The 13,698-nt window shown below is 31.0% G+C and overlaps 1 pseudogene, besides 1 other annotated feature; it reads left to right on the top strand.

Moving 5' to 3' along the window:
- Positions 222-942: an enhancer, noted in NCBI's record as "OCT4-NANOG hESC enhancer chr5:25709056-25709776 (GRCh37/hg19 assembly coordinates)". NCBI's record gives its function as "activates a minimal SCP1, AML or CMV promoter by ChIP-STARR-seq in primed H9 embryonic stem cells {active_cell/tissue: H9 hESC(primed)}" and the evidence as "EXISTENCE:reporter gene assay evidence [ECO:0000049][PMID:30033119]".
- RNU6-374P (RNA, U6 small nuclear 374, pseudogene) lies at positions 8,565-8,672 on the top strand (annotated as a pseudogene).

The following is a 13,698-nucleotide window of genomic DNA, read 5'->3' as shown; positions in this document are numbered from 1 at the left end:
AAATACATATTTTGTTAAATTTTTCAAGTATTTCTAAAATGTATGAATTAAAACATTCTGCTATAAAATATCTACTTTCATTACACAAACATCAATAGTGAAATCAATAAGGATAAGGTAAATATTTTTCTAATTTAAAAAATATTTGGAAAATTCTTCTAAACATATTGTAGAAACCATTTTTCTTTTGAGCAATGATTTTACTAGTTTCAATTAAAATAAGTAAAGTTCATAATGAGTCAGAGTTACCTAGAAAAAAAGAATATTCAAAGAAAGAATTGCTTTTAACACCTAATGAAGTCATTACCTCTTATTACATGAGACATTTTATAATTTAGGTGCATAAATGTATACATATCTCAGTTTGTTCAAAGATTTGACATTTTCAATATGTGCTTATCAAGAAACCATGCTAATTGGATGTTTTCATGTTTTTGTAGCATCAGGGCTTTCTGAGAAAAGGAAACTGGCAACCTGCGTTAAGGAACGTTGGGTGGCAATTGTTCCTTTGAAGTTAGAAGTTGTATGTTTTCCCATAGCATTTGGTCACATTCTAATGGTGATAGACCCAGAATCGTTTGTTCTTTTTGTTTTCAACCCTAGACCTAAATGATCACATCAAAGAGTTGTAAAGGTCACTCTCCTTTCCTCCTGACAGATACTGTGTAAGCAGTTTCTACATAAGCTCCAAAATTCATAATTACAGCTTTTTTTTTTGTTTTCCTATGGTACAGAACTCTTCCTATATCCTCTGTCATATAATCAAATGACATCTGGCCTTATCATGCTGCCCTATGGGAGACTGGGGCTTAGAAAACCAACAATAAGATGATCAATGAGTAAACAAAATGTGTTTTTCCTAATCTAGTGGTCTAGTATGCCAGGTATATGTTATCTGTGTAAATAGTGTAATATCTCAGATCCTTCCCAGTTTCAACGTCCTTCACTACTTTATGAATTCTTCTTTCAAGGTCAAGTTTAATTTTTTTTAAATAACAAAAACTTTCTGTAAGACACAATAAATAATTCACATGAATATTTTAGGTTGGGATTATCTGTTTTATTTTTAAATTAGTTATACCCTTTTTTCTTCCTAAACTAATCAAACAAGTGTTCATGCATATCCTCATCTGCCAGGCATCTTGAAGTGTCATAATAGTAAAACATAGTATTAAAATTATATTAGCTAATACAATTATTTTACTTATAAAACAAAGATCATATTGTCTTTATATCCAAAATAATCATTATAGGTTGGCCAAATGTGAGGAAAAAATATCATATAGAATACTCACGGTAAAACAAAAATCACTGATTTCTCTAATGATATATACATTTACCAGTCTTATATTCATACTCCAAAAGTCAGTTATTTTTACTTGCTATGTTATTCAAAACAGTTAACATTTTTTAGGTTTACAGTTAACTTATTTTTACTGAAGATTTATGAATAATGGCTTGAGTATTTTTCTTAAACATAAACATTTAAATCTAATGACATACAAACAAAAGGGCAGATAATGGAAAGCCAACTAAGAAATCTATTAAGAGTAGACTGGCTAAAAGGGCTAGTGAAAATATTGTTCCCAAAGAATTTCTAGGGCTGGGCCCAGTGGCTTACACCTGTAATCCCAGCACTTTGGGAGGCCAAAATGGGTGGATCACTTGAGGTCAAAAGTTCGATACGATCCTGACCAACATGGTGAAATCCCAACTCTACTAAAAAAACACAAAAAGTTAGCCAGGCGTCATGGCCCACACCTGTAATCCCAGCTAATTGGGAGGCTGAGGCAAGAGAATCACTTGAACCTGGAAGGCGGAGGTTGCAGTGAGCCGAGATCACGCCATTGCACTCCAGCCTGGGCAACAAGAGCAAAACTCTGCCTCAAAAAAAAAAAAAGGATTTCTAGAAAGTAAAGTTGTAATACAAAAAAAGATAATATTTCTTATAAAACTAGAGCAGCAAACCTTAACTTTAGTTACACAAATACAATGACACAAAGTTTTTGATATTCCCAATGTTCAGTTCACATCCTGTATAAATACATCCTGTATAAATTAAATTAAATTAAATAAGAATACTTAGGTCTGTAAGCCAAGCGTTAGTAATCTTTAAAGCTCTGCATGCAGTTTTTACACATTGTCAAGTTTTAGAAGCAATCAAGACTGACTTCTGCAGGACAGTGTGAGGAACTCCTCTGACCTGCCCCTCAGTGAAACTGGTGAAAATTATCAAAAAAAACCCCAATCATTTGAATCATTTGAAATGGGCTTAAGATAAAACTGCACATGAAGATGCACCTATTATAGAAAACCTACAAAAAATGGTAAAGATAGGTGAGATTTTGTGGTATTTGAACCAAGATAGCTTCTTCCCTTTTCACTCTGAACTCAGTGAGGCAGAGACTCCACTCCAGATTGCTGCAGCTAAGAACATAGGGCTTTCTCTTCACCCGGCTCCCAGATGGAAGCTGTTCTTCCAAGAACAAGTAAAACTTTAACATTTCTCATCCTGTCTCCAGCTACCTATTGCTGAGGACAACCCTTGGGTGAATGCAGTTGAGGTTGGGCTTTCCTTCTTCCACACATTCCCTACTTGAGGAAAAGAGGCAGTATATTGGATGTGGTGCTCTGAGAATACTCTGGCCCTAGTAGACCTTCCTTAACTTGTGAGATGATGTTTGTATAACAGCAGAGGCAAGCAGAGACGACCCCAGGCTGCTCACCCTCTTCCCCTTCCACAGCACTCAGTACCTACAGTGGAGCTGTCACTCAGAGGAAACCTTAATATTTTCTCCAACCCCAAACTCCAGAGCCATAGATCAGAGATTCTGCCTGAGGGAAGAGTAACCTAATAAAACAGATGGTTTAATCTCTTTCCAAAGGACTGCCTTCATTTGCAGCATAGCATGGAAAATTTTAAACCTAAACATACTGTAAAATTCAGTGGAGGTTGTGATGAAAACTAATTTGAAGAAAATTTGTGGGTCTAATGGAAATAAGATGTAGCCTGTATTCCTGTTACTTAGCAGGGAGAACTGGGAAATAAGCTGAGAAAACACTTCAGGGGTCAGAAAATTTCAAACACTTACTTCAGAAACTGTTAAATATTTTCTCCAGAAATCTACAATTTGATTAAATTAGTTTGTAGAGGTATTTATGCCTCAGGGCATTATTGAAAACAATAAGTGTCAAAAACAGCCTGTAATTAATGGAGCGTGACAGCTGTGTATGGTCAGGGAAAAAGTGGTAGAGAGCCTTACATGACCACTGCACTGTAGGTGTAGTATGGTATACCCAAAGATGTGTCTTCATGAGGAACAGACTGACACTTTGCATGGAGAGTAGTCAAAAATATTCCACCTAGTCATTAAAGATATAAACAAGCAAATTACAATCACAAGCCTCCCAGGACAGTATGCAAAGATCCTATATATATTGCCTAAAATATCTAATTTCAAAAAAAAGCTTGTGAGGTATTTATAAATAAAGTATTATCCTACAGCAGAAAAAAAGGCAATAGAAACTGCTTGTGAAAGCAGCTAAATTTCAGATTAAACAGAAAAAGATTTCAAAGTAGTCAATATAAATAAATATGCTCATTAACCTAAAGCAAAGCACAGTTAAGGAAGTAAAGAAATATATCATAACAGTGTTGCATCAAACAGAAAACTTCAATAAAAATATAATTTATTTTAAAAAGAGTAAATGGAAATTGTGTAGTTAAAAAATACAATAACTGAAATGTATAACATTTAGTAAAAGGGTGTAACAGTAGATTTGAAATGTAAACATAGAGACAAAAACACACACTTCATAATAAAAATGCTGAAAGTCAAAGAAAAGAAAAAAACTGTTGAAAGTAGCAAGAGAAAATGGCATATAACTTACAAGAAACTCCCAGTAAGACAGAAGCTGACATTTCAGAAAAATTAACAGAAGCTAGGAGGCAAACTATTTTAACATATTCAAAATACTCAAAAAAGCCAGCAACAACAAAAACTGTCAATCAAGTGTCCTATACTCATCAAAGCTCTCTTTCAAAAATGAAGGTGAAATAAACACATGATTCAATAAAGAGAAACTGAGACATACTCTTTCTTACTGCTCTGCCTTAAAGACATATATCAAAAATTCTTCAGGTTGAAAGCAAGTTCTGCAAATGGTAATTATAACCTATAAAAACAAACAGAATACTGATAAAGTTAATTATGTAATTATAAAGGAGACGATAAATGCATATTTTATTCTTCCCTATATTAACTGATTTTAAAAGCCATTGTTTAAAATAATATGTGTAAAATGTATTGCATATACATTTAGAATAGACATATAAAACATAAAAATGCAGTGTATGTGTAATATATTTGTCAATAACAGCACAGCAGTGATTGGTGGGCACAAAGCTGTAATGGGTTAAAAAAATGATGACAGATGATAGAGTCATAACAATAAGAATGTCTTGTTGGGTTTTTAACACTAATTAAGGCATTACATGTAACAATAATTCCATTTAATGGGGATAAAGGTGATATATAGTAGTAATGTTTACACATAATACTGAATTAAGCTGGTATAAATCTGATATTGTCCTAATAAGTTAAAGTGGGTATGATAAATGTTAGAGTGAACACACAAACGCATACACACACACATACACACAACTAGAAAATGGTGCAGAAAGCATTAATAAAATCAAAATGCCACATTAAAACACAGTCATTTAATAGAAAATAAAGCATTAAAGTGAAATAGAGGAAAAAAAGACGAGATATACAACACAAAATATAAAATAGTAGACAGAAGTCTAACTATATCAGTAACATTATTACTGATAGATTAAACATTTCAATCAAATAAAGATTTTAAGACCTAATTTTTACAAAATGATACAACTTTATGTTGTATACAGGAGATGTATTTTAGATTAGAAAACAAATAGATTGAAAGTAAAAGGATGGAAAAGATTTATCAGGCAAACAGCAACCACAGGAAAGCTGATGTGACTATACTAATAGCAGACAAAATAGACATTAAAATAAAAATGAGTTACTAGAAATAAAGAGTATATTTTATAATAATAAATCAACCCATCAGAAAGGTATAACAGTTTAAAACATATGTGCACCAAAAAACATAATACCAAAATGCATAAATTAAACACTGACAGAAATTAAGGGAGAACTAGATAATTTAACAATAATAGTGGGCGACTTCTGTATTCCACATTTAATAATAAATAGTATGTAGTCAGAAATTCAACAATCAAATAGAAGAATTGGAACACTATAAACTTACTAGGCCTGGCAGATATTCATAGCACATTCCACCAGCAACACAGAATATAGATTCTTCTCAAGTGCAATTGAAGCATTATTCAGGATACATCACATTAAATGTCATAAAAAAATTGAATACATTTAAAATGATAGAAATAATACAAAATATGTTCACCAACACAATGAAAGAAAATTAGAAATCAATGACAAGGAAAATTTGTACTTACTTACAAATATATAAATATTAAGCAACACACTCTCAAGTAGCCAAAAAATTAATAAAATTTAAAAGGGAAGTTATAATACATTAAGAAGGATAACAATGAAAACATGGTATTTACAAACTGCTGTGAAAGCATTGTTTAGAGAGAAAATTATAGCGGTAAATGTCTATGTTAAGTTAGAAAAAAGAACTCAAAACAAAAACTTAATTTTCCAACTTACACCATCAACAAAAGAGCAAACTAAACCTAAGACAAGCAGAATAAAATAAATAATAATTGCTAGATAGTAAAATAGAAAGTAGGTGAAAAGATAAAATAAAGAAAATCAATGCAACCAAAAGCTGGTTCTTTGAAAAGATCAATAACATTGACACAACTTTAAATTTACCAAGAAAGAAATGGAGAAGAGTGAAATAACTAGAATAAGAAATGAAAGAGGAGCCATTACTATTGACATAATCAATTTAAAAAAAATTAAAAAGAAATGTTGTGAACAATTGTACGCCAACAAACTAGATAATTTAGATATAATGGACAAATCCCTAAAAGACAAACTGTCAAATTTGACCCAAGAACAAATACACAATTTGAATAGACCTATGAGAAGTGAACAGACTGAATCCGTATTCAAAAACCTGTCCACAAGGAAAATGCCGTTCCTAGATGTTTCACTAACCCAAGTCTTCCAAATATTTAAAGATAGTTCACGAAAATGGTTTACAAATTATTCTCTTCCACTTACCTCCCAAAATAGAATACTTCTCAACTAATTTAATGAGGCCAATATTACCCTAAAATGAAATACAAACAAATCATCAACAGAAATGGAAATCTTTAAACCAATATCCCTTATGAAGCTGTATGCAAAAATCCTGCATAAAGTACTAGCAAACTGAATCCAGAAATACATAAAAAGAATTATACACTCCAATCAAGTAGGATTTACTCTAAAAATGAAGGTTGACTGCATCTAAAAATTATTATTGAAATACAATTTACTAAAATAATAAAAAATGAAAATCATGCTATCATCACAATAAATGCAGAAAAAACATTTGACAAAACCCAGAAACTTTCAATAACAAAAGCACTAAAAAATAACAATGTGAAGGAACTCTCCACTCCCTGAAGCTGATGAAGGGAATTATGAAAACTCCACAGCTAACATCATACTTACAGGAAAAAGACAGGATACTTCCCACTTACAGTCAAGAAAAAGACAAGGATGTCTATTCTTGCTGTTTTAGTTAGCATTGTGCTAGAGATTCTAGTTAGGCAAGAACAAAAAGAAAAGTAGATGAGAAAGGAAGAATTGAAACTATATTAACAGACCATGTGATTATATGTATAAAATCATATGAAATTACTAAAAAATTAAAAGTAATGAGTTTGGCATGGTTGTAAGATACAATATCAATATCAAAAAATCAGTTACATTTCTATGCTCTTGCAGTGAATATTTTTAAATGTATTTTTTAAAGTTTCAGTTATAATAGCATCAAAAAATTATATACCCAGGAATAAATGTAACAGAAAAACAAAGTGTCTACTCTAAAAACTGCAAAGCATTGTTCAAAAAACTAAAGAAAATCTAAGTAAATGAAAAAATACCCAGGTTCATGGATGAGAAGACCTAATGTTGTTAAGATGGCAATACTCCTCAAACTGACCTCCAGATTTACTGCAATTCCTATGAGAATCTTAGCCAACTTTTCTGTGGAAATTGACAAGCTGGTTCATGTAGAATTGCAAGAGACCTAAGGAAACAAACAAAAAAGTTGAACCCTTACATTAGACCATATAAAGAAATTAACTCAAAATATATTAAACACCTAAATGTAAAACCAAAAATTAAAAAATTCTTAGAATAAAACATAAGGGCCCATCTTTTGGACCTTTGATTGGCAAAGGATTCTTAGATATGACACCAAAAGCAGTAGTCACTCACGCACACAAAAATTGATAAACTGGACTTAATCAAAATTAAAAATGTTTGTACTTCACAGGACATCATCAAGAAAGGGAAAAGTCTGCCCAGAGAATGGGAAAAAAAATTTACAAATCACATGTTTGAAAAGGAAATCCTAATATGCGTATGCATATATATATATATATATATATATATATAATCATACAACTCAAAAATAAAAACAACACAATTAAAAAATAGGCAAAAGATCTGAATAGACATCTCTTCAAAGGAGATATACAGATGGTCAGTAGGTGTAGCCATGCTCCAAAGAACTAAAGAAAACAGTGAATAATAGAAAGTGTTGAGCTTACAGGAAGAGCAAATATGAAAAGAAACAGCTTGCTGATACTCCGTTAGCTTATAAGGTAACAAAACTGGCTGATACCAGTTAGAACCAATATGGACAACTATGGTCTGTGTGGAACGAACTTGCTGACATCACAGCCTAAATTTCCATTGCCTGTTTCATATCACGCCCCCACCCAAATTTGCACATGCAACCCATGAAGGGGCATGAAGAGACAACTGTGCCTATCGGGGAACTTTACAGGGGGAAAGGGGTAGGGACACAGATGTGAACTGGCCTTTTATCTCACTGTTGGTGGACACAAAATAAAGCTTTTTTGTTTTGCTTTGCTTTTTTTTTTTTTTTCGTTCTCAAAACCTAGTGCCATGGTATTTGCTTCTAAGGCATCAGGCAGCGAGCTCTTTAGCTCTTTTCTCAACAACGTAAGTACTCAAAAAGGTTCTCCAAGTCATTATTCATCAGGGAAGTGAAAATCAAACTCACAGTTTGATACCACTTCACATCACTCAGATTACTAGAATCAAAAAGTAAGATAACAACAAGTGTTGGCAATAATGTGTAAAAATGAAACCCTCCTATTCTGCTGAAAGGAATTTGAAAATGATAGAGCTGCTTTAGAAAACACTTTAACAGTTCTTAATTTTATTAAATATAGAGTTCCATTATGACCCATCAATTTTACTTCTAGATGTATACCTGAGAAAAAAGCACATATTTACATATACAGAACCTTGCATGCAAATTTTATAATAGCATTATCCATAATAGCAAAAATGTAGAAATTGCTTGCTTTGGCAACACACATACACAAAAATTGTAATGACACAGAGAAGATTAGTATAGCCCCTGTGCAAGGATGACAGGCAATTCATGAAGCATTCTATATTTTTATTGTACATTTAAAAATAACTAAAAGTATAATTAGATTGTTTGTAACACAAAGAATAAATGCTTGAGGAGCTGGATACCCAATTTTTCATGACATATTGCATGCCTGTATCAAAATATCTCATATGGCACATAAATATTTATACCTACTATAAACCACAACATTTTTTAATGTGGAAATAAAAACACTTACTATATATCCACAATTTTTTTTAAATGTGGAAGCCAACCAAATGACTGTCAATGGAGAAATAGATAAACAAAATGTGATGTATCCATTTAATGGAATATAATTCAAACATAAAAAAAAATGAAGTGCTGATACATGCTATAACATGGATGAATCTTGAAATCATTACACTAGGTGAAATAAGCTAGTAACAAAAGTTTTACATACTGTATGATTCCATTCATATGAAAGTTCAGAAGTGGGAAATCTATATATACAGAAAGTAGATTAATGATTAGATCTGGGCAGAAGTGTCTTGAAGGAGGTGACAGCTGAATGTTACAGGGTTATCGGTTTGTTTTTGAATGATGGAAATGTTTTAAAATTGATTACTGGAATAATTTCACATATTCATTAATAAACTGTCAACCATTAATGTATACTTTATATACAGAAATTATACAGTATATAAATTATATCTCAACAAACCTGTTTAAAAATAATGGAATAGGATTCTTATAAGATGTAAGAATCTGTATGTGTGTGACTATCTCTTTACAACTCTCTATTACATACTTATATTTTTATTTATCTGTATTTCTATAAATGTCTACATTTACATCTCTAAATATTCACCAATCTACGTATGTGTCTATTCACCAATTTTTTATTATCTCTTTTAATTTTTTACCTATAAACACTGTGCTGGGATATTTTTTCTCTCTCTTTTTTTTGGAATGGAATATTTTATTCTCAAGCTACATATTAATATTTATTTGTTCTTTTATGCTGTAAGCTATGTTGCAATGCCTAGTGCTAAATAAATTATGCTCAGTTTAATTAAAATGTAGTAATCAGTAAATGCATAAATCTTTATTGTGAGCAATTGTTTTCTACATTTAACCATTTAAATATCCTCTTTAATTGAAAAACTGATGTATATATCTGTATCTCTCTATAAATATATAAATGTAGATAGATCTAGATATATTCAAATCATTGCAAAAATCACTTATATGTAAAAGTTACCTCACCTAAAGTTGTTAAATACACATGAAATTAAGTTGCTTTCTTACTTTAAAAAATTACCTTGATGAGGTAATAACTGGAATGCCAATTTGTTTACATTTTGCTTAATTAATATATTAAACAATATCATTACTTTGATGTTAGTATTAGTATTGCTGATTTTTAATGTCAATAAGTTTATATATTCAGGATTTCCTATTAGTTTCAAAGTGGAATCATTAGTACTCATTAAAGGACAACCTCCTCTTAATGAAGAGAAACATTTTCTTATACTCAGAAGCATAGACCTAGCAATGACTGATAGTAAATAAGATGACAGATATGTGCAAAACTTCAAAAGTTTTTTTTTCCTTCTTCAATTTAATGCTTTAATGCTGATCTTCAAAGAATTCTTCGTATCTCATTAAAGAGTATTAGTGAAGGTGTATCAAAAAATGGCGTAATTGGGAAAACATTTGAGTGAAACTTTGACATTTAAAAACATTCTAATTTGGGATAGGATTTTAGGAAATCTGGAATGTAGTCATGTTTTGGCTCTAATTACGTGTTAGAAAATGAGTTTTGATTGTGATTTTTCCTCTGACATATTCTCCAATTCCTCTTTCTAATTGTAGGCTGCAGTACACTAGGACAAATGTGCTTAACAAAGCTTGTATCTGTCATAGGTACTAGAAAGCGGAGATTTCTTCGCTGGTAGAATTGTGGACTATGGGAAGATAATCAAAGAAAAGAAGATTTTCCTAAGCATGAGCTGCCAAAGGTGCTCACTGATGTTTTATTCAGACAAAAGAGCTTTCTAGCTTCCTTCAGAGCTCACGTTTCAGAGTTGCTTACACTTTCCAGCACAGGAAAAGACACTCATGAAGGTAACATTACCTGCCCAATGATTAAATCAAACAACTTTTTTTTTTGCTTTTAATGACAAACTGAAGAATTTTTATTTAAGAAATAGTACAGAAAAATATTTTTAATCTGCCTTTTAAAAATTTTATTTTATCATTGGTGGGAAAAGAAAGTCAAATCAAAAGAAAGAGTTTTCTAAATATTAGAAACTTACTTATCAAATAGGAGAAGTTATCTTGTCTAAGTAACTGTGAGTAAGAAATAGTGTGGAATCCCCACATTGTTGAAGTTTGATGGTAACTGAAGAGTACGGAAGTCTGTGGGTATGTAAGTAAGAAAAACACCACATATCTTAGTTGGGAAACCTTTGATAAACATTTATTTCCTGCAATTTTATACATTCAGATCTAAGCTACAAAACCTCCAAATTTTCTGTAGACAAGGTGGAAGTTGTATTTATTTTTATTACATTTAAGAGAATAAATGGCAATACTTTCCTCATATTAGGTTTTAAAATGTGATGCATTATGAGACTTTTACAGTCTTCTATGCTAATCCTCATGTACTCTTTATTTTCAAAGATCTCCTTTCTGAGAATGCCTTACATTCAAATTTGTCAACTTCATATTTTAAACTGATTATTTTGTTTAAATATTATAATGGCATTATAATTTTTATTGTAAATGCTGCTTAAATATCTAAATTTAGTTATTTTGGATTTATGGATTATCTCTAATTCTAAATATTGAAACTTTGAAGCAAATATATGTAGGCTAAACTAAATAATAAAGTAAAAAGTCATGAAATTCTGAAGAGATTATATGTTGTATATTATGTTTGTTCTATTGAATAACTGGTAGTATTGATGATTACATTATATATACTATAATCTGACTGAAAACACAGGTCTATGTTCCTGATACAATTATAGTGAAGTACTGTGGCAAACACTATGACATATTGTAACTTAACATAATTTGTTCAAAATTACCAGAATTATATTAGTTTGAATAGTAATTTAAACATTAATTCTGAATCTAAACTGCATTAATATTAAGTAAATATCAGATTAATATTAATTTAAAATCAATTTTAATATTTTGCATTATGTTATCTATTTATATTAATACCTTATTTTACTTTTTATTTTTAGATCTATAAATGAATTTAATGTCCTTCAATATCAGTTCTATTTGAAAAGTTATAAATGTGTCCATTTGAAAGAAACCCTTGTATCCCCTAGCTTCCTGCTCCTTATATATCTTTTTCCAGTCAATTATCCAGTCTAATTTTAGTTACTCACGGGTTCTAACTGTTCCATTTATTCCCAGGAACTATACTGTTGGTACCACATGTCTACTTTTTCATACTAGACATAATTATACCTTGATATTAAATTATCCATCACAAAGTACAAAATATATATTAAGCATATTTGTAAGATGAAAAAAGCAAGTATTTTTATCTCTATTTTACAGATGAGGTAAAAGTTTCAGAGATGTTAAATGACTTCAACTACTCCCATGCTGAGAAAGTGGATAATGATTCCAGATCCACAGTCTAAGGCTCTTTCTCTAAAGTGGAAGACGCCAAGTAAAATAGAAAAGATTCAGAGTGATCATTTGAATAATTGATTTTTATAACTGGCATTCTTTACATATACTTTCTCAATACAAGGTGATAAATTCACATCTTTGAACACAAATGAAGGGGAAAACAAAACAAAACAGAATCAATATAAAAAATACACTTTTAAATGTCAGACTTTCATCCTTTAAAATCATTAAGCATATGGGAAGAAATCAATGTTGTACTCATTCAAAATCAATAAACTGCTTTTTCTCTTCACTTTATTTGTGTTGTTTGCTTTTATGATTTGTTTTATTTTTAAAGTATTTCTAATATAGCCATAAACCGTTTTAAAAATTACCAGCACATAAAAAAGTTTTCTATGTCAATATCCTCCTATAGCTGCTACTCCGATATTAGAGTGGAGTGAGCAAGATAAAATTTTAGCATGACCCAGAAAGAGATGTGCTCTTTTTATCATACTGTAAATAATTACTTAATATTATCCAATATCCAGTAAATATTCTAATTTCCAATTGCCATTACACAAATATTAATAACAGTGTGTTTGAATCAACATCCAAACACACCCGGTCATTTTCGTTGGTTGATAAATGTCTGAATTTTCTTTAGTCTACATTTTCCCATTTTTGTTTCTTTCTCTCTGTGTGTCTTTTTCTTTCCTTACGATTTTTTTTTTAGCATCCTTGTAATCTGTTTTACTTGAGAGACTTAAATATTCTGAGTTTAGATTTTGCTGGGTGAATTCCTGTGGCATGGCTGCAAATTAAAAGTTATATCAAAATGAAAAAAATTAAGGTTTTTTTTGTGTATGAGGGGAGCAGGGAAACTACATCATATGTTGCTTCCATCACTGTCTGAAATATCAGGTCTTTCTTCTTGTGTTTTACTCATTTTGAAATGTTGGGTTATGTTTTTCATTCCTTTTCTGCACATGTCTGTATTGAGCGCTTTTATACAAATATTGTGCTCCTTGTTCTCATTGTATATAGTTCAGCTACAATTTCATTTTTTTGGCACTCACAATACTTAAAGTTAATTTTTCTAAACTTATAGGGAAACAAGAGATTAACATAGCTTTTCCAGCATGCTAGTTCTAAAAATTCCTCTTCGTTTCATTTCATTTCATTAATTGTTCTTAATGTGTCAATATGCACTACACAAGAAACCAACCTGTGATAGGTGGCAGTTCTTAACCATAACAGCTTAGGTAGTAACCTCCAGCAGGGGTTTAATAAGAATTTTATTTCTGCTATTTGATCCGCTTTCTTCCTGGATCGGCCTTCTCTGCACTTGCATTCTTCCCCCATTTCCATTCTGATTTTGTCTTTTGCGCATTACTCTTCACATAGCAAGTACAAAAAAGCAAACTGTTATAATGATTGTAGAGAAGATGG

The sequence above is a fragment of the Homo sapiens genome, chromosome 5 (genome assembly GCF_000001405.40).
Source record: "Homo sapiens chromosome 5, GRCh38.p14 Primary Assembly".
Lineage (NCBI taxonomy): Eukaryota > Metazoa > Chordata > Mammalia > Primates > Hominidae > Homo > Homo sapiens.
The sequence above is the reverse complement of the archived record's forward strand: the minus strand, read 5'-3'. Positions and strand labels throughout refer to the sequence as shown.